Here is a 27505-nt window from a genome sequence, read left to right as displayed (position 1 = left end):
ATTAAAACAAAGAGCCAAAAGTTCTAAAACGGGGGACTTTTCACTCGAAATGGGCTGATGCAGAAGATACCATTAGTCAATTTGTACCAGATTCTTGATTTATTCCCTTGTAAATCTTTTCCAGCCTTCTTCACCTTCCTCCACCCAATCTTTCTCAGGTGTGTTATGATCCAACAAGGGTAATAATGCAAGTTTTATGAAGATCTCCTTATAAAGAAAAGGTTTCGGAAATACTGCTTTCTGTTTACTTTTTGATATGTGGATGATAAACAACACCCCATCTTTCCAGAACACAAGGAGGGGGCGACTTCAAGCTAGCAGTTGAATCAGGAATCTTCTGATACATTATGCTTTGCATCATTGGCTCTGCTTAAGTCAACATGGTTTTTCAAAAAAATTGTTTTGTGTTAAATTTTATTTGTAAAACTTTCTACCAAATAAAGATGTGCAGATTAAATAAAATTTCTAAATGTGGTTGATAGCACTTGGCCTCCCTGCCATTTGTCTGCTCTCAGCTTTCCAGCTGAAAAAAATGAAAAGATTCATGGTCTTCTTGAAGTGTCATTAGTTCAATTTCCTGCCAGCCTCGGGTCCTTGACCTCAGTGGTGAGGAACGTGAAAGCAGCAGATGATGGAGATTTTAGGATTTTGTTGCTTGAAAAGGAAACCAGGTGTCAGGGACCGGTATGAACAAATGAAATAACAGAAACACTGGCAAATCCTATCAGGCTACTCATTCTCAAGAGTAGTGTTCCTTTCTGTACTTTTAGTGTACAGAGTATTCATCTCAATTGTGACTTTTATCAGAATTGTAAACAGCTGTTTGCTCAACTGTCTTCCCTACTCCATTGTAATATTCCTTGAGGGCAGCACATTCAGTGTCTACAAAAACTAATTTTACCTTAAAATTCTGCACACATGCATGTAGGGTTGAGTGAGAAAAAATGCTTGCAAGAATCAGGAAAAAGTTTTAACTTGTAAAACAGGTAGGCTCACAGGTGTATGATCCTATGCTATTCCAACCCATATGTTTAAATGAGAAAACAGCGGACTGCTATATACAAAAGTGGTTTTCTGGGTTCTCGGATATAATAACTTTGCGGCTCACAATGGCTCTTATATCCTTAAGGCAGGAGAGAGTTGGGGCTGGGCATGTGTCAATTAAATCTAAAGCCACTGACAGACCATAGGGCTAGGCTGGAGCCAGTGGCTGAGAAGTTGGCCTCCTAAGTGAGGAGAATGTCTAATTTGCTGACAGGAAAGCAAAAGCTCAGTGAACCAAGTGCACGCCAGACAGACATTTTTCATACCTTTTATATGGCTGGTTTGAGTTAATGCCAGTGATTAGGATTTAGAACACATAACCCACCAAACTTCTTTATGAAATATTTAGCACAAAGATCTCTACATTACTGGAAAAAACTCAGGAAACTCTTAGCAATAGCTCCACAACATTAAAAACACTCAACTGGCTTTTAAAAAGTAAATTTATTACCACACATAATAAGTCCAGAGAGTAGAGAGATTCCATCATGTCATCAAGACCCATGATAAATCTTTAAATATTTTGATTTTTTTGAACTTTACACTCTGTTACTCTCAATATATGGGTCTCATACTTTGGCCGGTTCCTCTGCAGTGCCTCAAACTCTGTCCCCTGAGCAGAAAGCCGGGGCTGTATTTACCCAAGTGGCTCTGCGCTGCACTTTTCATAATTGTCTCACATTTAGGACAAAGCTGCAGGTAGAAACAGGGAGAAAAGAGCAGTTGTATATGTCCCTTGGTTTCACAGCTCCTCAAAGAAACAGAGAATTAATTACATGGTAGATCTACACTATACTGAATGCCAAGAGGGAGCCATCACCAGCCCTCTATTATTGCTGCTCCTACGTCTTGAACCAAAGCAGCATCCTGTTCTCAGACACTAACTTGGGTTTGGAGACCTGAGTGTTTGGAGACACGATGTCTAAATAATAAAGCTTGGAGAATGTGGGCATCGATCCCACTACCTCTTGCGTGCTAAGCAAGCGCTCTACCACTTGAGCTAATTCCCCACATCAGGGCAGCATTATTTATTGTTAGCAGGTGGCCTGGAACACAGGTGATTTCAGGGCCTTCAGCAGGAAAGCAGGGCTCTAAGAGCAGATCTTCTCATTGATGGGCCAGGGCAAACAGCAGTGGCTACTCATTGTCTGCAAAGAAGGAGGAGAAAAGGGAACAAGGAGAAAGTCACAACGGGAAAACTTCACGCTGCCAAAATGCCAAGTTTAGAGTATTCCGGGACAGAAAAGGGCACGTCCTAGCAAAGGAGGACCTGCCTAGACATGCCCAGGTAAAGCATCACAGATTTTTAAAAAATGATTAAATACTTAAAAATGATTAAATGATTTTGTGTGTGTGTGTGTGTGTGTGTGTGTGTGTGTGTGTGTTTATAAAAGTGGGACCAGAAACAATTGTAACTGTCTTGCTGCTTTTTTTCCTCTTGTGGCCCAGTCATCTAGCTTTTCCCTTCTTCAGAGATCTTAGTCACTCTTCTTTTCCGCAGTCTCCTTTGTTGATAAGAAACAGAGGCGGTGCTCAATTCATGATAGTTCACTGAGTGACCAACTGAATGAAGGAAGGAAGAAATAGCCTTCCAAGGTGTCTCCCATTCATACTACTCTTACTGTGTATCTACACTTGCATCTCTATGACTGGAGACATTCACTCAACAAAAAACATAAACTGAACTTATAATCATATCCTCCCTGTTTTTTCCCCAATTTTTTGTGCCATGAATTATACTAGGAGACTTAGGGAGTTTACTTGATGTAGTCTGACTGAATTTTGCCAAAAAAACTGTCTTAGTCTGCACTTTATGCACTTTTTAGAAGTAATAGAGGCTCAGATAAGTTAAGTGTTCCTAAGGTGCCAAAGCTGCTAAGTGGGAAAGCCTGAACTAAGAAGCAGATATTTTTAGATTTTAAATGTGATTTTTTCCCTCTGTACCAGCTCAGTTATTCTGCCCGTTCTTTTGCACTTTAGCTCACTCATTCATACAACAAATATCTAATTCCAAACCTCTTCCTTACTTACTTTTTGGGCTTAACTTTTTTTTTTTTTTTTTTTTCGACAGAGTGTCACTCTGTCGCCCAGGCTGCAGTGCAATGGTAAGATCTTGGCTCACTGCAACCTCTGCCTCCCGGGTTCTAGTAATTCTCCTGTCTCAGCCTCCAGAGTAGCTGGGACTACAGGTGCCTGCCACCACGCTTGGTTAATTTTTGTATTTTTAGTAGAGACGGGGTTTCACCATGTTGGCCAGGCTGGTCTCAACCTCCTGACGTCACGTGATCAGCCTACCTTGGCCTTCCAAAGTGCTGGGATTACAGGCATGAGCCACCCCTCCTGGCCTGGGTTTAACTATTTTATTTTATGACAGGGTCTCACTTTGTTGTCCAGGTACCGGTGCGTTCTCTGTTCACTGCAACCTCCACCTCCTGAGTTCAAGCGATCCTCCCACCTCAGCCTCCTGAGTAGCTGGAACTACAGATGCATACCACCACACCCGGCTAATTTTTGTATTTGTTGTAGAGACAGGTTTTCACTGTGTTGCCTAGGCTGGTCTCAAACTCCTGGTGTCAAGGGATCCACTGATCTCGGCCTCCCAAAGTGCTGGGATTACAGAAATGAGCCACCACGTCTGGCCCTGGGCTTACCTTTCAAGTCAACTTTGATTCATTGTCTTCCTTGAAACACCACATTCAGTGATTAGTCAAATAATGAACATTATTCTTGCACAACTCTTTTGAATCTATCAATTACTTTCTACTCATTTAGTACATATTCACTGGGGAGATGCTCTGTGCCAGACACTGTAGTAAGATCAGGTAATTCAGAGGAAGTATAGACACCCCAGACCTCAAACGAAGACAAGATAAATATGGACAAGGGAAGATCCACCTCCACATTCACCATTTTCAGTCTTTCTGTCATTTCCAGCTAAATAACGTCTTCAAAAATGTTTCAAAATAACTAAGTCACTATTTCAAACTCTTTCAATAATAGCACCCTTCTATACACTGGACTACTCTTAATTTTCTCATTATAACATGATCTTGCTTTTCTTTTAATTTTTGTCTTTGCTTTCTACCTGAATTTTTATTTTGCATTATGAAATTGATAGGTCCATTACTGGATGGCATGGTTCAATTCTCCAGTATGTCTGTTGATTTGTGTTCCACTAAATCTTCCAATTACTCAGAGAGGAGTGTTAATGACTGCAACTATAACTGGATTTTTCTATTTTTACTTGGCGTATCCAATTTTGTTTATGAGTTTTGAAGCTCTGTGTCCTCATATACATTTGGGACAATATTCTCCTGAAAAATTGACAATCATAATTATTTAGGAGGCCTCATTATTCCTGAAAAGTTTCTCTGCTTTCAAATCTACTTTGTCTGATTTTATATATATACACCACAGCTGTCTTTGATTAATGCTTGCATGAGGTATCTTTTCCCACTCTTTTCTTTCAATCTGCTCTATAACTTTTATTCTTATTTATAAGTGTATTGCAGGTGGCTTTCTTTAGTCAGCATATTTATTTTTAACACATTCTGATGATCTCTAGTTTTTACTTAATGCATTTAGATAATTTACATATAATGTTATTATAGATAAGTTTTTAGATAGATCTACTATTTAATAATTTATTAACCTTTTTTCCCTTTGTTTTAATTCTTCTATGTTCCTCTGTCTATCTTGTTTTGGTTTATTTCAATCTGGTTGTTAAGTGGTCTAGGGATTACCATATACATATATAACTTTTCACAGTATACTAAGAATCAATATTTTACCATTCAAGTTGAATATAGAAACTTCATCAAGAGTTAGTCCCATTACATTTACCCTTTTATCTTATGTATGTAGTACATCTAGATACAATGACAACTGCATCAGATAAAGTTACAATTTTTGCTTTCAACCATCAAACATACCTTAAGGAACTCAAGAGAAGAATAATAGTCTGTTATGTCTACCCAGACATTTTCTATTTCTGCTTTTGTTCCTTCATTGATGATGTTCTAAGTTTCCTTCTGGTATCACTTTTCTTATCTCAAACCTTTGCTAATTCTTTTCCAGCAGTTTTGCTAGGACTGAGAATGTATTTATTTACCTTCCAATGAGAATGCATTTATTTGCCTTTATGTCTGGAAGATACTTTTGCTCCACATACCATTCTGGGTTGATAATGTATTTTTCCTTTGGTATTTACTGAATGTTATGACATTTTTTTCTGGCTCCTGGGTTCCCGATGAGAAATCTACAATCATTCATTTGGTATTTTATCTTTCATTTCCCTTTGGCTGCTTTCAAAATTGTTTTGTGTTTTCTTAATTTTCCGCAGTTTGATTATGATATGTCTTGCAATGGGTTTCTTTTGGTTTATCCTGCTTGACATTTACTGAACTTTAAAAATCTGGTTTATATCTTTTGAGAAATTTGATACATTTTCAGCCATTAATTCTTCACAGTTTTATCCCACAAAGACCTCTTTGTCCTCTTACAATAATGTGAATGTTTCCAGATTACAATAATGTGAATGTTAGATTTGTTATTTTTTATTTGTCCCTGAGCCTCTGTTCAGGGACAATAAAATCCTCCTTTCTTTCTATAGGTCAGATTCTGTAGGTATTCTTGTTCCGTTTTCAAGTTCATTGACTTTTTCCTTAGTCTTCTGCATACTGCTATTGAGATCATCCAATTAAGCTTTTTATTTCCCCTAATAGTTTTGGTTAATACTTTTTTTAATTCTTAAGTTTAAATTGGTGTTTACATATTCCAAATATTTGGTGAGACTTTCCAACTTTCCATTCACTTCATGAATGCTATCCCGTAATTCTAGGAGCATTGTTATAATAACTGCTTTAATGTATGTGTCAGATGATTTTGACATATGTGTCCTCTCAATATTGTTATGCAAGGATTCTCTTTGCCATGTGAATTAAGATCTCCCTGGTTTTTCATAATGCTGAATATTTTGGGGCTTGTAACCTGGACTTCTTTGGATTATGTGATGAGACACTGTGTCTTGTTGAAATCTTAAGGATAATATTGCTCTTTTTGTTTTTGCAGGCACACAATTGCCTTGTATTTAAGCTCCAAGTACCAACCAGACTTCCATGTGTTGTTGTTTCACAGATAACTCTATTTGAAAGCCTTGACACTGCGGATGAGAGATCTCTGGAGTGTGTGCAACCAGTGGTCAGTGAGGACTGGAAAGTGGACCATTGTTTAGTTCAGTCCTCAGGCTCTTTTTAGGTAAGTTGTTTGGGATTAGACCCACTTATTCACAGCTGGCAGGTGCGTCCACAAGCTCATGAACAACTTTATGGGTTTGCTTTCTACAGTATCTGTCCAGGCACATTCTAGTTACTTGACACATCCTGGTTTCAGTCCTCTCACCAGAAAGCCAGGGCTGTATTTACCCAGGTGGCTCTGCCCTGCACTTTTCACAGTTGCCTCACATTCAAGCTACAGGCAGAAACAGGGAGAAAAGAGCAATTGTTTATGTCCCTTGGTTTCACAGCTCCTCAAAGAAGCAGAAAATTAATTACACGGTAGATCTACACTATACTGAATGCCAGGAGGGAGCCGTCACCAGCCCTGTATTGTTGCTGCTCCTACATCTTGAACCAAAGCAGCATCCTGTTCTCTGACTTGGGTTTGGAGACCTGAGTGTTTGGAGACCCAGGGTCTAAATAATAAAGTTTGGAGAATGTGGGCATCGATCCCACTACCTCTTGCATGCTAAGCAAGCGCTCTACCACTTGAGCTAATTCCCCCACATCAGGGGAGCTTTATTGATCCTTAGTGGGTGGCCTGGAACACAGGGGATTTCAGGGCCTTCAGCGGGAAAGCAGGGCTCTACTAAGAGCAGATCTTCTCACTGATGGCCCAGGGCAAGGTGCAGTGGCTACTCATTCTCTGCAAAGAAGGAAGAGGAAAGGGAACAAGGAGAAAGTCAAAAAGGGAAAACTCACACTGCCAAAATGTCAAGTTTAGGGTATTCCGGGACAGAAAAAGGCACATTCCAGGAAAGGAGGCCCTGCCTAGACCTGCCCATCTAAAGTGTCACTGATTTTTAAAAAATGATTAAATAATTAAAAATGATTAAATGATTTTGTGTGTGTGTGTTGTGTGTGTGTGTTTATAAAAGTGAGATAGTATTATCACTTGTTCCTTGTAGCTGAGACTCTCTGGGGATTTTGAGATGGTACAGATTTCTGGAAGGCAAAAAGCTCCTGTTGTTTTCATAACTAGGCCCTTTCAGGAATGAAGCCAGCGTGCTGACCACTACCTTAGGAAACCCCTGGGGAGTGCTTCTTTCACTTGCATCTGAGATATAGGTTGCCTCCTTGCTAAGGTGTGTCATGTACAAGTTACATGTCCAACTATATCTCAGAACAACAACAACAAAATTACAGAGCAGAGCCATAAAGAATAAGAGACAAGATCATATCAGAGTGTAAGAATATGTAAAATATTAGAGTGTAAGAATCAAAATTCAGCTATGCAGAGAAGGAGTGGACATATGGTGGAGAAAACCGGGCTGTTCGTAGGAATTCCTGTGTGAAGAAATAAACCTGTTCAATTTAAGTGCTGTGTGTGTGTGTGTGTGTGTGTGTGTGTGTGAAATACACACGGAGGGAAGCAGTGATTGAAAAGCCTGGCCACTTGGAGATATGTTGGTAGAGTTTTATGAAAACTCCCAAGAGTAATTGAAAAAATCCCAGGCAGAATGCTTAAATAATTAAAGCAACATGTTAGAGAAAGGTGTTTAGTTTTGAATGTCAGAGCTTGAACATGAGAAAATAGAAATTGAAGAGAAAGAGAAAGAAGTCATAAAGATATTAAAGGATTGAGATTTACCCGCATTTATCGTGTCAGCTCCCGAGGTGGACAACAGGAGTCTTTCTGCAGCGTCAGTGCCCATCACACTTCCTGCTGCAGAATACATCCTCCATAAACACCATAGCATGGATGATGACAGAGGTGAATGAAAAGAAAGAAAAACATTCTGGTGATGCTGTGCAGGAAGGATCTACAGTATTTGTCAAGACATTGGGTGGAGAGATTTGAGGGAGAGGAGACAAAGACACTGGGAAGTCTTGAGCCTAGTGTGGTAGACACAAAAGAGATTCTGAATTAATAGCTGATGAATGAATCCACTCATTTATTTGTATTTGTTATGTGAATGAATGTTACATGAATGACCTGGCATGGAGAAAACAGATGGTGAGACTATGTGCTAGGGTAAAGCAAGAGCTCAAGTTTTTTTTTTTTTTTTAATTTAGAAAAAAATCTGCTTTTCATATCTGGTTTTCCTATTTAAAACTATGTGATTTGAGGAAAATGGTTTAACTCCTCTGAGCTTTAGTGTCATCTACAAAATTTGGATAATGATACTGAGGGAAGCTGAAAAGCCGTATCAACCAACTTATACAAAAAATAATAAACATTCACTTCCATTTCTAATGCATGGTGCTGAAAAAGTCCTTGTATGTGGAATATTGTTCACCTTTAAGGAACCTGCTCTCAAGAGCTGATGAGGGACTTTTTTTAGTGCAGTTCTGTTGTCACTGGCTGTTGGGCTCATTTAGTTGGCACCAACAAATCTCTGTGAACATAAAAATAAAATAAAATAAAGATTGTGGAGGAATAGAATACAAACACACAGTAAGGTGAGATTTGCACAACAGAGTAAAGGATGTGTGCCTGATTCTTTTTGCATTCTCTTTGAATCATTTTTAGCCTTTATTCTAAGTCCCCAATTATTGTCATCCTTCTCCCAACAAGATCGTTTCTCTCCACCGCAGATATTCTGGCCAGGCTCTCTGGTTAACCATCTTGATGTCCTGAGCACTCTGTTTGTACTGAGACTCTGATTTATGTTCAAATGATGCTCTTCCATAGCAAGGCTTCCTGCTTTGCCCAAAGAGCATTCAATTTTTCAAGCAATTTAGGGCTCCTTCCTCACCCAGTATCTATGTGAAACCTTAAAGGGAAGCCTATTCTTTCCAGGAAGATAATCCTGTTGTGGTTTTAACCTCAATCTGTAAATTCGCTGGGGTAACTGGGAAAGAAGTCATAAAGATATTAAAGGATTGAGGTTTATCCACATTTACTGTGTCAGCTCCTGAGGTGAACAGCATGAGTCTTGCTGCAGCTTCAGCCCCCATCACACTTCATAGGTGAAGAAAACATCCTCCATAAACACTGTAGCATGGATAACAGAAGGAAAAGATTCTGGAGAGGTTATGCAGGAAGAATCTACAGTATTTGTCAAGACATTGGGTGGAGAGATTTGAGGGAGAGGAGACAAAGGCACTGGCAAGTCTTGAGCACAGTGTAGCAGACACAGAAGCGATTTTGAATTAGTATCTGATGAAAGCAAGAATAAATCCACTCATTTATCTGTATTTGGTAAATGAATGAATGTTACATGAGTGAGCTGGTGTGAAGAAAACAGATGATGAGACTATGTGCTAAGTGAAAGCAAGAGCTCATGATTTTTTCATTTAGAAAGAAATCTGCTTCCCATATCTGGTTTCCCTCTTTAAAGTTATGTGATCTGAGGAAAATGGTTTAACTGCTCTGAGCTTCAGTGTCATCTATAGTACTGTGGTAATAATACTTGGGGAAGCTGAGAAACTATATCGACCAACTTACATAAAAATTAATAAACAGTCAGCATAGTTTCTAGCACATAGTGCTGAAAAAGTCCTTGAACGTGGAGTATTGTTCACCTTTAAGGAAAATGTTCTGAAGGTCTAAGGAGAGAGATCAGTGCAGCTTTGTTGCCATTGGCTGATTTGCTCATTTATTTTGTAGCAACAAGCTTCTGTGATGACAAAAATGAAATAAAGTTTAAAAAGTAAAATAGATGGTGGAGAAACACAATAGGGATGTATAGTAAGGTACGATTTTCTAGGCAAAATGGATTTGTACAAAAGAATGTAGTAGTAAAGGATTTGTGCCTGATTCTTGTTGTATTATTTTTGAATCTCATTTAGCCTGTATTCTAATTTCCCAGTTGTTGTAATCCTACACCCAACAAGATTATTTCTTCGCACCATGAACATTCTGGTCAGATTCTCTGCTTAACCATCTTGACTTCCTGAGCACTCATGTTTTTACTGAGACCCTGATATATGCCCAAATGATGCCCTTCCATAGGAGGGCTTCCTGCTTTGCCCATAGAGCATTCAATTTTTCAAGCAATTTAGGGCTCTTTCCTCAACCAGGGTCTGTATGAAACCTTAAAGAGAAGCCTGTTCTTTCCAGGAAGAGAATTCCAGTGGGTTCTAACCTCAACCTATAAATCCACTAAGCAAGCTCCTACTGAACACCTATGATGCAAGCTCAATCCAAGAGGCCAGCACTCCACAGGGGGAAGGCAACCGAAGCAGTAGCTAATGCTTACTGAGCAGTTCTTATTGATCAGGTCCATCTCTAGGTGCTGTGATCCACCCAAAAATATCCCACAATCCTTATTTCCCATGTAAAGAAAGAAGATTGAAAGAAAGGGAAGCTAAATGATAGCTTCAAAGTGACAACTTCCCTGATTCTTCTACTGAAAACTGAATGTGTCACCTCCACACTGCCGAGTCCTTTACTGCCTAATGAGTCCCTCCCAGTAGATATTATCACATGACTTCTTGTTTATTTTTCTTCTTTGCTTCCTGTCTGTTTCTCCCCACTCCTTGCAACTATGACGTAGTATCACAAAGGTGAGAATATCTGTGTTTTATTCACTGTGAATTACTGTACCCAAAACAGTCTCTTAACAAGGTATGCGCTTGAGAAATATTTGTTGGATGATTAAAAGAATAAAAGAGTTCACCCACCCCACCTGATAATTATGTTTGGATGACCTTCAGAGCAGACAATTGGAAGAGAAATTTCCCCTGCTTCCCTTGTCAGCTAGAGAGGTAGACATATGACATAGCTTGTAGTTTCTTGTGTAATTTATATCTCTTCACCACGCCTTGTATTCAAACCACTAAGAAGCCAAAAGAAGGAAAAAGAGAAAAAGAAAGAAAGAAAGAAAGAAAGAAAGAAAGAAAGAAAGAAAGAAGAAAGGAAGAAAGAAAGAAAGAAAGAAAGAAAGAAAGAAAGAAAGAAAGAAAGAAAAAAGAAAAGCTCATTTTTAAATTTTAAGCTAATATTTGGACTGTCTTGAAATCATTATCTCATAGCATTTGTGTTACATTATTTATCACACCTATTTCATTTCCCTTAACGGAAAGAGCGGCAAAAGCTGTACCTTGTCTGATGTTCAAACTCAGGACCTTCAGAATACGAGATTGACAGGTGGCCTGCTGCTCTAAGAGAGCAACTGTTCCTAAGAGCTGAGATCCAGATTATTAAATCTCATTTCCCACACACTGCTGCTTTATCAATTCCTAGCTTTTAAAGAACACAATCAATGCTACTTGGAAATCACTGCTTATCAGCCAGTGCTGCACTGGAAGAATTCCCCACTCAGGACAGGTGGAGTCCACCCGTTTCCAGTATTCACATAATGATAGGACCTTCTGGCTTGAGGGACCAGAAACAATTGTACCTGTCTTGCTGCTTTTTTTCCTCTTGTGGCCCAGTCATCTAGCTTTTCCCTTCTTCAGAGATCTTAGTCACTCTTCTTTTCCGTAGTCTCCTTTGTTGATAAGAAACAGAGGTAGTGCTCAATTCATGATAGTTCATTGAGTGACCAACTGAATGAATGAAGGAAGAAATAGCCTTCCAAGGTGTCTCCTGTTCATACTACTCTTACGGTGTATCTACACTTGCATCTCTATGACTGGAGACATTCACTCAACAAAAAACCCAAACTGAACTTATAAACATATCCTCCCTGTTTTTTCCCCAGTTTTTGTGCCATGAATTATACTAGGAGACTTAGGGAGTTTACTTGATGTAGTCTGACTGAATTTTGCCAAAAAAACTATGTCTTAGCCTGCACTTTATGCACTTTTTAGAAGTAATAGAAGCTCAGGTAAGTTAAGTGTTCTTTCTAAGGTGTCAAAGCTGCTAAGTGGGAAAGCCCAAATTGAGAAGCAGATACTTTTAGATTTTAAGTGTGATTTTTTTCCTCTGTACCAGCTCAGTTATTCTGCCTGTTCTTTTGCACTTTAGCCCATTCATTCATACACCAAATATCTAATTCCAAACCTCCTCTTTACTTACTTGCTCTGTCACCCACGCTGTACTGCACTGGTGAGATCTTGGCTCACGGCAACCTCTGTCTCCCAGGTTCAAGTAATTCTCCTGTCTCAGCCTCCTGAGTAGCTGGGACTACAGGTGCTTGCAACCACGCCCAGCTAATTTTTGTATTTTTAGTAGAGATGGGGTTTCACCATGTTGGCCAGGCTGGTCTCAAACTCCTGACCTCAGGTGATCCGCCCACCTCAGCCTCCCAAAGTGCTGTGATTACATGTGTGAGCTACCCCTCCCGGCCTGGGTTTAACTATTTTATTTTATTTTATTTTATTTTATTTTATTTTATTTTATTTTATTTTATTTTATTTTATTTTATGACAGGGTCTCACTTTGTTGTCCAGGCACCGGTGCAATCTCTGTTCACTGCAACCTCCGCCTCCCAGATTCAAGCGATCCTCCCACCTCAGCCTCCTGAGTAGCTGGAACTACAGATGCATACCACCACACCTGGCTAATTTTTGTATTTTTTGTAGAGACAGGGTTTCACTGTGTTGTCCAGGCTGGTCTCAAACTCCTGGTGTCACGGGATCTGCCCATCTCGGCCTCTCAAAGTGCTGGGATTACAGAAAAGAGTCTGGACTTGGGCTTACCTTTCAAGTCAACTTTGACTTATTGTCTTCCTTCAAACACTACATTCAAGGATTTGTCAAATAATGAACATTATTCTTGCCCAGTTCTTTTGAATCTATAAATTACTTTCTACTCATTTAATACATATTCACTGGGGAGATGCTCTGTGCCAGACACTGTAGGTAATTCAGAGGAAGTATAGACACCCTAGACCTCAAAAAAAGACAAAATAAATATGGACAAGGGGAGATCCACCTCCAGATTCACCATTTTCAGTCTTTCTGTCATTTCCAGCTAAATAACTCTTTCAAAAAATGTCTCAAAATAACTAAATAACTCTTCCAATAATAGCACTCTTCTATATGCTGGACTACTCTTAATTTCCTGGTTATAACATGATCTTTACTTTTCTTTTAACTTTTGTCTTTGCCTTCTACCTAAATTTTTATTTTGCATTATGAAGTTAATAGGTCCATTACTGGATGGTATGGTTTAATTCTCCAATATGTTTGCTGATTTGTTTTCTACTAAGTCTACCAATTACCGAGAGAGGAGTGTTAGTGTCGGCAACTCTAATTGGATTTTTCTGTTTTTACCTTGCGTATCCAATTTTGTTTATGAGTTTTGAAGCTCTATGTTCTCATATACACTTGGGACAATATTCCCCTGGAAAATTGACAATCATAATTATTTAGCAGGCCTCATTATTCCTGAAAAGTTTCTCTGCTTTCAAATGTACTTTGTCTGATTTTTTTATATATACATCACAGCTGTCTTTGATTAGTGCTTGCATGAGGTATCTTTTCCCACTCTTTTCTTTCAATCTGCTCTATAACTTTTATTCTTATATATAAGTGTATAGCAGGTGGCTTTCTTTAGTCAGCATATTTATTTTTAACACATTCTGATGATCTCTAGTTTTTAATTAATGCGTTTAGATTATTTACATGTAATGTCATTATAGATAAGTTTTTAGATAGGTCTATTATTTAATAATGTATTAACCTTGTTTCCCTTTGTTTTAATTCATCTATGTTCCTCTTTCTATCTTGTTTTGGTTTATTTAAATCTTGTTAGTAGGTGGTCTAGGGTTTACCATATACATATATAACCTTTCACAGTATACTTAGAATCAATATTTTACCATTCAAGTTGAATAAAGAAACTTCATCAAGAGTTAGTCCCATTACACTTACCCTTTTATCTTCTGTATGTAGTACATCTAGATACAATGACAACTGCTTCTGATAAAGTTACAATTTTTGCTTTCAATCATCAAACATACCTTAAGGAACTCAAGGGAAGAATAATAGTCTGTTATGTCTACCCAGACATGTTCTATTTCTGCTTTTGTTCCTTCACTGATGATGTTCTAAGTTTCCTTCTGGTATCATTTTTCTTATCTCAAATCTTTGCTAATTCTTTTCCAGCAGTCTTCCTAAGAATGAGAATGTATTTACTTACCTTCCACTGAGAATGCATTTATTTGCCTTTATGTCTGGAAGATACTTTTGCTCCACATAGCATTCTGGGTCGATATGTCTTTTTCTTTTGTTACTTACCGAATGTTATGACATTTTTTCTGGCCCCTATGGTTCCTGATGCGAAATCTACAATCATTCATTTGGTAGTTTCTCTTTCATTTCCCTTTGGCTGCTTTCAAAATTGTTTTGTATTTTCTTAGTTTTCAGCAGTTTGATTATGATATGCCTTGCTATGGGTTTCTTTGGGTTTATCCTGATTGACATTTACTGAACTTTAAAAATCTGGTTTATATCTTTTGACAAATTTGAACCATTTTCAGCTATTAATTGTTCAAAGTTTTATCCCACAAAGACCACTTTGTCCTCTTCTTTCCAGATTACAATAATGTGAATGTTGGATTTGTTATTTTTTATTTGTGCCTGAGCCTCTGTTCAGAGACAATAAAATCCTCCTTTCTCTCTATAGTTCAGATTATGTAGGTATTCGTGTTCTGTTTTCAAGTTCATTGACTTTTTCCTTAGTCTTCTGCATTCGATTATGGAGATCCTCCAATTAAGCTTTTTATTTCCCCTAAGAGTTTTGGTTAATACATTTTTTTAATTCTTAAGTTTAAATTGGTGTTTATGTATTCGAAATATTTGGTGAGACTTTCCAACTTTCCATTCACTTCACGAATGTTATCCCCGATTCTAGGAGCATTGTTATAATATCTGCTTTAATGTATGTGTCAGATGATTTTGACATCTGTGTCCTCTCAATATTGTTATTCGAGGATTCTCTTTGCCATGTGAATTAAGATCTCCCTGTTTTTTCATAATGCTGAATATTGTGGGGCTTGTAACCTGGACTTCTTTGGATTATGTGATGAGACACTGTGTCTTGTTGAAATCTTAAGGATAATATTGCTATTTTTGTTTTTGCAGGCACACAATTGCCTTGTATTTAAGCTCCAAGTACCAACCAGACTTTCATGTGTTGTCGTTTCAAAGATAACTCTATTTGAAAGCCTTGACACTGCTGTTCAGAGATCTCCAAAGTGTGTGCAACCCAGTGGTCAGTGAGGACTGGAAAGTGGGCCATTGCACAGTTCAGCTCTCAGGCTCTTTTTAGGTAAGTTGTTCGGGATTAGAGCCACTTATTCACAGCTGGCAGGTGCGTCCACAAGCTCATGAACAACTTTATGGTTTTGCTTTCTACAGTATCTGTCCAGGCACATTCTAGTTACTTGACACATCTTGGTTTCAGTCCTCTCACCAGAAAGCTGGGGCTGTATTTAACCAGGTGGCTCTGTCCTCCACTTTTCACAATTGTCTCACATTTAGGACCAAGCTGCAGGCAGAAACAGGGAGAAAAGAGCAGTTTTATATGTCCTTTGGTTTCACAGCTCCTCGAAGAAACAGAAAATTAATTACACAGTAGATCTACACTATACTGAATGCCAGCAGGAAGCTGTCACCAGTCCTGTATTGTTGCTGCTCCTATGTCTTGAACCAAAGACACCGAGAGCAGTGTCTTGCTCTCAGACACTGACTCGGGTTTGGGTACCTAAATAATAAAGCTTGGAGAATGTGGGCATTGATCCCACTACCTCTTGCATGCTAAGCAAGCGCTCTACCACTTGAGCTAATTCCCCATATCAGGGAAGCTTTGTTTATCCTTAGTGGGTGGCCTGGAACACAGGTGATTTCAGGGCCTTCAGCGGGAAAGCAGGGCTCTACTAAGAGCAGATCTTCTCATTGATGGCGCAGGGCAAGGTGCAGTGGCTACTCATTCTCTGCAAAGAAGGAGGAAAAAAGGGAAGAAGGAGAAAGTCACAAAGGGAAAACTCACGCTGCCAAAATGTGAAGTTTAGGGTATTCCAGGACAGAAAAAGACACGTCCCAGCAAAGAAGACCTATCTAGACCTGCCCAGCTAAAGTGTCACTGATTTTTAAAAAATAATTAAATAATTAAAAATGATTAAATGATTGTGTGTGTATTGCATGTGTGTGTGTGTGTGTTTATAAAAGTGGGATGGCATTATCACTTGTTCCTTGTAGCTGAGACTCTCTGGGGGTTGTGAGATGGTCCAGATTTCTGGAAGGCACAAAAGGGATTCTGAATTAATATCTGATGAATGAATCCACTCATTTATTTGTATTTGTTATGTGAATGAATGTTACAGGAATCACCTGGTGTGGAGAAAACAGATGGCAAGACTATGTGCTAGGGTAAAGCAAGAGCTCACGTGTTTTTGTTTTTGGTTTTTTAATTTAGAAAAAAAATCTGCTTTTCATATCTGGTTTTCCTATTTAAAGCTATGTGATTTAAGGAAAATGGTTTAACTCCTCTGAGCTTTAGTGTCATCTACAAAATTTGGATAATGATACTGAGGGAAGCTGAAAAGCCATATCAACCAACTTATACAAAAAATAATAAACATTCACTTCCATTTCTAATGCATGGTGCTGAAAAAGTCCTTGTATGTGGAATATTGTTCACCTTTAAGGAACCTGCTCTCAAGAGCTGATGCGGGACTTTTTTTAGGGCAGTTCTGTTGTCTCTGGCTGTTTTGTTCATTTAATTGGCACCTACAAGTCTCTTTGAACATTAAAATAAAATAAAGATTGTGGAGGAATAGAATACAAACACATAGTAAGGTGAGATTTGCATAACAGAGTATAGTAAACGATTTGTGCCTGATTCTTTTTGCATTCTCTTTGAATCATTTTTAGCCTTTATTCTAAGTCCCCAATTATTGTCATCCTTTTCCCAACAAGATTGTTTCTCTCCGCCACGGACATTCTGGTCAGGGTCTCTGCTTAACCATCTTGACCTCCTGAACACTCTGTTTGTCCTGATAACCTGATTTATGCTCAAATGATGCTCTTCCATAGGACGGCTTCCTGCTTTGCCCAAAGAGCATTCAATTTTTCAAGCTGTTTAGGGCTCCTTCCTCACCCAGGGTCTATTTGAAACCTTAGAGGGAAGGCTATTCTTTCCAGGAAGAGAACCCTGCTGGGTTGTAACCTCAATCTGTAAATCCACTGGGGTAACTGGGGTTAGCTCAGTTACTCCAGAGCTTGCTCTCTGAGAACTGGATGGTGCTGCTACTTCCCATAAAGGCTGAATAAAAAGAGGCATCTGCAGGCAGGAGAAAGCGCTATGGTCATTGCTGGAAGATTCCTTCTGACCATTAGCTATCTCTCTGACCTGGTGTGAGAAGGGTGACAAAAATCGGAGACTTGAAAACAGGCCAAAAAAAAAAAAATGGATTCAAAAGAATTTTAAAAGAATCATGCACAAGTTCTTAATTAGATTCTTTTATCCAAATCCATTTTGTCTGGAAAATAATACCTTACTACGTATCTGTATTCTATTCCTCCATAATCTATTTTATTTTATTTTAATGTTCACAAGAAGCTGGATGCTAGCTACCAAATGAGCAAATCAGCCACGATAACAGAACTGCACTAAAATCTCTCATCAGATATTGATACAGTCAAGACCCTCATGAGTGCCTATGATACAAATTCAGTGTGAGAGGCCAGCTTTCCGCAAGGAGAAGGCAACCAAAGCGGTAGCTAATACTGAGCAGTTCCTATTGCCCAGATCCATTTCTAGGTGCTGAGATCCAGCCAGAGAATCCCACAGTCCTCATTTTTCATATGAAGAAACATGTGAGTGATTCACCACCCCAATCCTCATGTATCATCAGTTTTCAAACAAAGCCAAGTAGCCTCCTGTGCAAAAAGCTCTCCTAACCCCCAGTTGCCTTGATAGGTAAAAGTATTCTTATGACAGTGCTAGAAAAACACGGGCACAAGTGTTCCGGCAAGGTGACTAGAAGGCAAGGCTAAAGTTGTCAAGGTGACAAAGTCCCTGATGGTCCTCTTGAAAGCTGAACGTGCCACCTCATATGTATATGTGTATGTGTGGATGCATATGTGTATGTTGTGTGTACACACCTACACATATATCTACAAATGCATGTGTGTATGCATGCATGTGTGTACACGTGCATGCGCACATGTATCTGTATACATGTATTATGTACACAGTATGCATGTGTACATGTATGTGTGTCTGTGCATGTGTAGATGTATACATGCATGTACACATGCATCTACATATGCATGTGTATGCCTAAATGTGTGTACAAGTGCGTGCATATGTGCACTATACATATGTGTACATTACGTGTGTGTATGTTTCTACACGTGTATCTGCACATGCATACGTACATACATGCATGTACACGTGAATACACACGTGTATGTATATATGTATGTGCACCTGTGTGCACATGCATCTACATATGTGTATAACTGTATGTGTGTGTACTCATGTGTACATGCATCTGCGGGTATGCATTTGTGTACACATATGTCTGCACATGCATGCCTGCAGGCATGGATGCATGTGTGTGTGTGTGCATGCATGCATGTGTATCCATGTATGTGTGTACACAGAATGTTTGTATGTTTGTGTGTAGGTATTCGTGTACGCATAAATGTGCACATGCATGTTTGCATGCATTTGTTTACACATGTGTACATGTGTATGCACATATATGCATGTGTACATGTATACATTGTGCTCATGTGTGCCTACATGTATGTATATATTGTACATGCATTATGTGTGTATGCACATATGTATGTGCACGTGTGTGCATGTGTGTACATGCATGTATGCACACATATGTTATTTGTGTGTGCATGCATTTGCATACATGTTTGTGTGTGCACATGTGTGCACACATGCATGTGTGTAGGCATGTGTGTGGATGTGCACACGTATGTATGGACACGTATTCTTGCATGCACGTGTACATGTATGTGTGCACACAGGCATGTGTAGGGATGTATGTTGTATACGTGTATGTGTGTATACATGTATGTATGTACACAAAATCTGTTTGTATGTACACCTAGATCTGTATTAGTCAGGGTTCTCTAGAAGGACAGAACTAACAGGATAGATGTGTATATGAAGCGGAGTTCATTAAGAAGTACTGACTGACACAATCGGAAGCTGAAGTCCCACAATTGGCTGTCTGCAAGCTGAAGAGCAGGGAAGCCAGTCCGAGTCCCAAAACCTCAAAAGTAGGGAAGCTGACAGTGCAGCCTTTAGTCTGTGGCCAAAGGCTCAAGAGCCCCTGGCGAACCACTGGTGTAAATCCAAGAGTCCAAAAGCCGAAGAACTTGGAGTCCAATATTTGAGGGCAGGGAGCATCCAGCATGGGAGAAAGATGGAGGCCAGAAGACTCAGCAAGTCTTCCTTTTCCAAACTCTTCTGAGTGTATGTATGTATACATGCATGCATGTATACATGTATGTTTTCAATATTTATACACATGGAATCATTTAGGATATTATTAGATCTGGCTTCTTTGATATCAACTTTTCATTATGTTTTTAAATTCCATCTATGTTGTTGGATGACCACTTGCCTGATACTGTTCATTGCAATACAGACTTCCACGTATGAACACATCACAGTTTGTATAACCATATTGCCATTGATAGCTATTACATTATATCTATCCTTCAGTTATTACAAATGATGCCACTCTAAACATTCCTGAATGTGTATCCTGGTACACATAAGCATGCATTTTCTATGCAAAAATGAGTGGAATTGAAACCATCTTTGCAAAAATTATGACAGTGAGAAAAATCTAACATAGCTGACTATCTTGCTTCTAACTTCACAAACTGTCCTTGTTCATTCCTGGGCATAGGCCAAGCTAACTATGGAGGAATTCATAGTTTAATTTTAAAACAAAGATGATAATAGCTGCTTCCCAAAAGTAACCCCTCCCTGCTAAGGGACTGAAACTACCTTTGTAAAACTAACAAATTAGGCATAAGGTTAAAATTATGGTTCAGGAATAATGTAGCTGGAAGTCACAAGATTGTAGCCTCCTCAGTTGCTCCTATAGATAACATCACTACTGTAAAGCCTAAGATTGGTGCTTGATGTATTTTTTAGACCCTGTATTTTGATGGACCAGCTGATGTCACCTGGACAGGTAACCCATTAAAAAACAAACAAACAAACAAAAAGCCGCTAGCCTGACCAACATGGGGAAACCCCATCTCTACTAAAAACATAAAAATTAGCCAGGCATGGTGGTGCGCGTCTGTAATCCCAGCTACTCAGGAGGCTGAGGCAGGAGAATCGCTTGAACCCAGGAGGTGGAGGTTGCAGTGAGCCGAGATCGCACCATTGCCTGGGTGGCAGAGTGAGACTCCGTCTCAAAAAAACAAAAAAACAAAAAGCAAACAACAAAAAAAACTGGCTCAGCTGGTCTCATGAACCCCTGATCCAGGAACTGACTCAGTGCAAGAAGACAGCTTTGACCCTTTATGATTTCATCCCTTACCCAACAAATTAGCATTCCCCAGTCCCTACCCCCTGTCCACCAAACTATCCTTGAAAAACTCTGGCCTCCAAATGCTCAGGGAGGTGGATTTGAGCATTATCTTTCATCCTTCCACTTGGCTGGCCCTGCAATTATTAAACTCTTTCTTTGCTGCAAAACCTGCTGTTCTCACTGCATTGGCTTTTCTGCGCAGCAGACAAGAAGAACCTGTCAAGTGATTACAGAATTGCTGGTAAGAAAAGTGTATCTTCAACTAGATACTGCCACACTCTTTTCCAAATTTACTGCATTCACTTGCACTCGCAGTAGCTGTATATTAGTGTTTTTCTTGCTCTACTTAGTTGAAGTCACTGTAATGTTTCTCATTGTGATTACTATGCATGTTCTCAAACCATTTCCCTGTTTATTTCATTTTAATCTATTGATTGTATTTAAATGTACACTCTGTATTGTAGCCTCTGAAGCTATCTCAAAAACACAGCTTTTTTTTTTTTTTTTTTTTTGTGGTGCCACTGTTTACAAACCTTCAAGCACTTCCTAATGTTGTCTTAAAAGTCAAAGCTTCTTAGACTTTTATGTTTGGTCTGATATGGTTTGGCTCTGTCCCCACCCAAATCTCATCTTGAACTGTAGTTCCGACAACCCCCACATGTCTCAGGAGGGACCCTGTGGGAGGTAATTTAATCATGGGGGTCAGTTACCCTCATGCTGTTCTCATGATAATGAGTTCTCACTAAATCTGATGGTTTTATAAGGGGCTTTTTCTCCTTTTGCTTGGCACTTCTCCTTGCTGCCACCATGTGAAGAAGGGCATGGTTGCTTCCCCTTCTGCCATGATTCTAACTTTCCTGAGGCCTCCCTAGCCATCCTGAACTGTGAGTCAATTAAACCTCTTTCCTTTATAAGTTACCCAGTCTCAGATATGTCTTTATTAACAGCATGAGAATAGACTTACACAGGTCCAATGCTTAACTCTCAAATTTTATATCCCTCTCCTCCTACATTTGAACTCATACTAAACTATTTTTAACTTCCCCCTAAAAATGAAATGTGTATGTCTCAGTTTAATCACAGTCCTGTGAATTAATGGCTCCAATCCTCTCTTCCCTTAACTTTCACAAAGATAACTACTACATATTCTTCAAAAACCTATTTATGACATCCATTGTCTATAAAGCTCTCCCCAGCCTGAAGCCTATGTTAGATTTCCTTACTGTGAGGTCCATGCAACTGTCCATAGTGCTTTCCAGGCTGTATTGCCATGTTTCCATATGGAAATTCCTTCCTGGCATTTCTTGGGAAATTTATAATTTTCCAAATCGTGACAAAAATCAGTCAAGAAAGAAGGAAAATGGGGAAAGTATAATTAAAATTCTGCATAGGCAGAATAATGCCCCCCTCCAAGATATTCGTATTTTAATCCTCAGAACCTGTGAATCTATTACTTTGCATGGGAACAATGACTTTGCAAATGTGATTAAAGTTAGGAGTTTGAGCTAGAGAGATTAGCCTGGATTATCCAGGTGAGCCTAATTTAATTACATGAATCCTTAAAAGTAAACAACCTCTCTCTGCTGTTTCAGAGAGCAATTAAATGACAGAGGATTAGAACGAAGTGACATGAGAAGGAACTGATCTTTCATTGCTTGTTTTGAAGATGAAAGAAGAGGGTCATAAGCCAAGGAATGTAGGAAGCCTAGAAGCCAGAAAGAGCAAGGAAACAGATTCTCCAGAAAGGGACACACACTGCCAACATAGTGAAACCCAGTTTAAACTTCTGATCTACAGAACTTTAAGATAATACATTTATTAATATATTTTTAATACACTAAGTTGTGGTAACTTGTTACAGCAACAACAAAAAACTAATTCACATTCCTCTTAGGGCAGGGGTCCCCAAACCCCAGGGCGCAGACTAGCAACAATGTGTGACCTGCCATAGCAGGTGATGAGTGGCAGGCAACCGAGCATTACCACCGGAGCTCCGCCTCCTGTCAGATCAGATTTTCATAGCAACACGAACCCTATTATGAACTGCTCATGCAAGGGATCTAGGTGGTGTGCTTCTTATGAAAACCTAATGCCTGATGATCTGAGGTGGAACAGTTTCATCCCAAAACCACCTTGCCCCACCAGTCTGTGGAATAATTGTCTTGCATGAAACCAGTCCCTGGCCCCCACAAGATTGGGGACTGCTGTTTTAGGGTATACAGGGTCATATCTGTCTTGAGAACTGCTGCTTCCCTCTTCCAAAGCGATTTGGGGGCATGATTTCCCACACACATAAAGCCCTTTGGTGAGAGTCTGCTACTCACCAAATGAATAAATTAAAACTGCCCCAATTGTGTTCAAGAATGTCTACCTAGATTTTTGGTTAGCTTGAGGTTGAGGTACTTTATGATTGTTCTCCAAAAAGAAGAATCACTGGTATCTTACAAAACAATTCCATTGAACCAGAAGTTATTTCTTGACTATGTTTTACTTGCTTCTTATTTTTATTTTCTACTTTTTTCCTTCACTTGCAAAAGTTTCTCCCATTTGTTTTGAGGGCTTCTATTATCTTACACACATCAGCAAACAGTTGCTGATTGATAAACTGACAATTAATATGCTTTCTGTTAACTTAAAGATATTGTTCTTCAGCTGCAGAAGAGGAGGGACTACAAGGGTCTATACAAGGTTTTACTTGCTCATCTGAGCTGATAATGAATCCTTTTTAAACTACCTTCTTTTCTAAATTGAAACCTGAGTCTGCATGACTCACTAGGCAGGATTTACAGAAAATGTATTAACTAGGATACAGAGCCAATGAATATAAAAGGTACAGCACAATGAGACTTACAAATGTAACTCAAACACTCAGGTGCTGTCACCTCTACTGTGGGCAATCTCAGAAAGATTCACTCTATTCAGGGAATATGCTTTAGGTTCACCTAAACTTCCTTACAGTTTACCTTCCTCAGGTTGTGTTAGTACCCTTGAGGCTAGTCCTCCAAGTATATCTGCTTGAGGATGGGCTGAATGAAAGGAATCTTGGGAAACAGAAATAGCAAAAGAGAAATCTGAATGTAAATGAAAAACAAAGATATAATAAAATCAAGAGACAGAGACAAAGACAAAAAAAAAGACTCAAAAAGAAAAAAGTTTCAAATTTTTTTGCACTTGTTTGGCATCTACGGGCTCAGAAAACTTTGGATCCAAAAAGAAACAGAGAGCATGGTTCCCCTTAGAGCAGCAGTTCCCAACCATTTTGGCACCAGGGACTAGTTTCGTGGAAGACAAATTTTCCACAGATGGTGGAGGGGGATGGTTTTAGGATAATTAAAGCATATTACATTTATTGTGCACTTTACTTCTATTATTATTACATTGTAGTATATAATTAAATAATTATAGAACTCCCCATAATGTAGGATCAGTGGGAGCTCTAAGCTTGTCTTTGTGCAACTAGACTAGACTCACTGGGCAGGATTTACATAAAATGTCTCATTAACTTAGATACAGAGTCTATGAGTATAAAAGGTACAGCACAGTGAGGCTTACAAATGTAATTCAAATACTCATCTGGGAGTAATGGGAGACAGTGACAGATCATCAGACATTAGCTTCCCATGAGGAGCATGCAATCTAGATGTCTCTCATCTGCAATTCACAATAAGGTTCGCGGTCCTATGAGAATCTAATGCCACTGCTGATCTGACAGGAGGTGGACCTCAAGCAGTAAGGCGGGTGATGGGGAGCAGCTGTAAATACAGATGGAAGCTTCACTCACTTGCCCATCACTCACCTCCTACTGTACAGCCCAGTTCTGAAGAAGCAACTAACTTGTATGTGGCCCAGGGGTTGGGGACCCCTGCTTTAAAGAATTTTTTTCTTTTTTTGAGACAGGGTCTCACTCTGTCACCCAGGCTGAAGTGTAGTGGCACAATCTCAGCTCACTGCAGCCTCAACTTCCCAGAGGACTCCAGGGATCCTCCCATCTCAACCTCCTGAGTTGGTGGGACCACAAGTGTGCACCACTACATTCGACTAATTTTTGTATTTTAGGTGAAGATGGGGTTTCACCACATTACCTAGGCTGCTCTTGAGTTGATCTCGAACTCCTGAGCTCAAGCAATCCACCACCTTGGCTTCCCAAAGTGCTGGGATTACAGGTGTGAACCACCATGCCAGCCCTAGAACTAACATTTTAATGGGTATCTATTACATGCCGAGTCACTATGATGATACCTTTGCATTAATTACTACATTTCATTCTTACCTCAGCTCAGGGAGGGAGGTATTGTCTTATGAACTTGTAACAGTCAAGATGGAAAGACAAAGTAGAGCACTGTAAAACAGATAAGCTGGAGAGCTGGACGGAAAACACAGAAAAGGCAGCCACGCATCATTCAGGAAAAGGAATAATGGTGAATAGCCAGATAGATTCAATGTATGAGAGAAAAGGTAAATTAAGAAGAGATGGGCTGGATGCAGTGGCTCACGCCTGTAATCCCAGCACTTTGAGAGGCCGAGGCGGGCAGATCACCTGAGGTCGGGTGTTCGAGACCAGCCTGGTCAACGTGGTGAAACCCTGTCGCTACTAAAAATACAAAAATTAGCCAGGTGTGATGGCGCATGCCTGTGGTCCCAGCTACTTGGGAGGCTGAGGCAGGAGAACCGCTCAAACTCGGGAGGTGGAGGTTGCAGTGAGCTGAGGTTGTGCCACTGCACTCCAGCCTGGGCGACACAGCAAGAGTCCATCTCAAAAAAAAAGCCAGGCACAGTGGCTCACGCCTGTAATCCCAGCACTTTGGGAGGTCAAGGCAGGTGGATCTCTTGAGGTCAAGAGTTCCAGACCAGCCTGGCCAACATGGTGAAACCCCAACTCAACTAAAATATAAAAATTAGCTGGGCTTGGTAGCGCATGCCTGTAATCCCAGCTGCTTAGGAGGCTGAGGCAGGAGAACTGCTTGAATGAGGGAGGTGGAGGTTGCAGTGAGCCGAGATCATGCTACTGCACTCCAGCCTGAGCGACAGAGCGAGACTCCGTCTCAAAAAGAAAAAAAAACAAAGAAAAAAAGAAGAGATGACATGGATGAAAGACCTTTTCTGTACTAAGTTAAAATCTAGTTGGAGTAACAGGTACGGAACAATCACCAGAACTCTCAGTAACAAGCTGCAGCAGATGAAGAAAAATTGAGGCCACTAACGTTGATTTTGGGTCTGACTCCTGTAAATCTCCATTAACAGTGCATGCATCAGGATCCCAAAAATCGCAAATATGCCTGCCGTAGAGACACAGAAGAGGACTTTCTCTTTTTCAGAGTTCCTTCGTGGAAACTTTCAGCTTAGATTTCGGCAGGAAAAATTCTAACATAGCCAAAACCTGCCATAGTATTCTTTAGCCTTCCTCTGACCCCAGTTGTTTCCTTAAGTACCTTGGGAATTTCCACTGAAATCTTGATTATGTCCTGTTCTTTAGATCATCTGTCTGTCCTTTATTGCATGGTCTAAGGTATTCCTTTTTAGTGTGTAAATCACTTTGGAAAATGATTTAGAAAAATAAAAAGACTGCATGGTGTCTAAGAAGAATTTAAAGGGTTTTCAAATGGAATTCCAATGTATCTACACCTTCCAAAAAAAACTCTCTCCTCAGTCTCAAATCCATTGATCACTTTCCTCTACAACTCATCAACTATCCATACTTTATCCAACCCCAACTCATACCCTGCATGCCTCTGACTTGCTTGCCTAATCATGTTCATCCAACCAACATTAATTGATCATATAAGTAACCTATTTGACGTCACTTTCTACTCAAATTTACCTTTCCACCTCAATATGATTCATACACTAAACCTATGTTGTCCCCTGATCCTGCTCCTTTTCCCTGATCTCCAATCTCTTATCCTTCTACTTGACATTAGTCCAAACTTATATTTCTTATTTCCCAAATCGCCATGTCCTTATTCTTACCAAATATTTGGCCGAACTAAAGATATAACTCAATCTTTCTCTCCCATAATCAGATCTTATCACATTAGTTCAGTCACTCACATGATCTAACCCTCTTAGGTGATGTCTCTTTATTCTCTCAGAAGGAGAAATCCTAGGAAACTGCAATTCCCTGCCTCATCTTATCACAAATGCTGCCCCTTATAAACGAACTGCTTCCACAGAATATGTTTCCATACAAAGGCTACTTATATGATTGTCAGATGCAATACAGGATGCCCAGTTACATTTAAATATCGGATAAACAATGAACCATTTTTTTAGTGTATGTCCCATGGGAAAAATATATTCCCTAAAAACTTTTTTAAAATCTATTGTTTATCTAAAATTCAAATGTAACTGGGTTTCCTGTACTTTTTTCTTTCTAAATTTGGCAACCCTAGATACATACACTCTCCATAGGACCAATCTACTTTCCAGTGGATAATCTCAGAAAGAAGTTTCAGACCTACTGGCTTCTAGGAAACAAGATACTGAAATGCACCTTTCCAGGGGCTGCAGTTCACAATTTCCCACTTGCTCAACTCTAGTCACAATAGTCTTTCCATACCCTTCATCTCTATCCTCAAAGCCAGATCCTCTTCAGAACCACAAGAAGTATGTTGCCCAAGCTTGGTCTGGAACTCCTGGGCTCAAGTGATCCCCCCACCTATGCCTACCAAGCAGCTGGGGCTACAGGCATGTGCCACAGTGTCTGGTCAAAAACCTCTTAACTGAAACTCTCCTCCCTTGGTTGTCGTAGTCCACTTTTGTTTTCCTCATAATTTCCTGGCTGCTCCTTCTTACTCTTTATCCTCATACTTAAAACTAAAAATAATCTTT

General features: G+C 39.5%; 1 long non-coding RNA gene and 3 other non-coding genes across 15 annotated transcripts, besides 4 other annotated features; all 4 read right to left on the bottom strand.

The window, feature by feature from the left end:
• On the bottom strand, positions 1470-18191 carry LOC102724851 (uncharacterized). 12 transcript variants are annotated; one of them, XR_926628.4, is made up of 4 exons: positions 14117-18191; positions 11609-11698; positions 8561-8659; positions 1470-6513 (listed from the first exon to the last, which is right to left on the bottom strand). It is a non-coding gene; the product is annotated as an uncharacterized LOC102724851 (long non-coding RNA). The 12 variants fall into 12 exon arrangements; XR_007059524.1 differs by lacking the exon at positions 8561-8659 and having other exon boundaries at positions 1470-2192; positions 4977-6513; positions 11609-18191; XR_007059526.1 differs by having other exon boundaries at positions 1470-2192; positions 4977-11698.
• Positions 1540-2040: an enhancer, noted in NCBI's record as "H3K27ac-H3K4me1 hESC enhancer chr6:26687499-26687999 (GRCh37/hg19 assembly coordinates), duplicate 1 on the GRCh38 assembly". NCBI's record gives its function as "activates a minimal SCP1, AML or CMV promoter by ChIP-STARR-seq in naive H9 embryonic stem cells {active_cell/tissue: H9 hESC(naive)}" and the evidence as "EXISTENCE:reporter gene assay evidence [ECO:0000049][PMID:30033119]".
• Positions 1540-2863: a biological region, named in NCBI's record as "MED14-independent group 3 enhancer GRCh37_chr6:26686676-26687875 duplicate 1".
• Positions 1664-2863: an enhancer, noted in NCBI's record as "MED14-independent group 3 enhancer chr6:26686676-26687875 (GRCh37/hg19 assembly coordinates), duplicate 1 on the GRCh38 assembly". NCBI's record gives its function as "activates an origin of replication core promoter dependent on BRD2, BRD4, P300/CBP and CDK7 cofactors, and independent of MED14, by STARR-seq in HCT116 cells {active_cell/tissue: HCT116}" and the evidence as "EXISTENCE:reporter gene assay evidence [ECO:0000049][PMID:35650434]".
• On the bottom strand, positions 1982-2054 carry TRA-AGC10-1 (tRNA-Ala (anticodon AGC) 10-1). The gene has a single exon. It is a non-coding gene; the product is annotated as a tRNA-Ala (tRNA).
• Positions 2041-2541: an enhancer, noted in NCBI's record as "H3K27ac-H3K4me1 hESC enhancer chr6:26686998-26687498 (GRCh37/hg19 assembly coordinates), duplicate 1 on the GRCh38 assembly". NCBI's record gives its function as "activates a minimal SCP1, AML or CMV promoter by ChIP-STARR-seq in naive and primed H9 embryonic stem cells {active_cell/tissue: H9 hESC(naive and primed)}" and the evidence as "EXISTENCE:reporter gene assay evidence [ECO:0000049][PMID:30033119]".
• Positions 6752-6824, bottom strand: TRA-AGC12-1 (tRNA-Ala (anticodon AGC) 12-1). Its single transcript has one exon. It is a non-coding gene; the product is annotated as a tRNA-Ala (tRNA).
• On the bottom strand, positions 15877-15949 carry TRA-AGC14-1 (tRNA-Ala (anticodon AGC) 14-1). The gene has a single exon. It is a non-coding gene; the product is annotated as a tRNA-Ala (tRNA).
• Positions 18192-27505: the final 9314 nt, after the last annotated feature.

The sequence above is a fragment of the Homo sapiens genome, chromosome 6 (genome assembly GCF_000001405.40).
Source record: "Homo sapiens chromosome 6, GRCh38.p14 Primary Assembly".
Taxonomy (NCBI): Eukaryota; Metazoa; Chordata; class Mammalia; order Primates; family Hominidae; genus Homo; species Homo sapiens.
The sequence above is the reverse complement of the archived record's forward strand: the minus strand, read 5'-3'. Positions and strand labels throughout refer to the sequence as shown.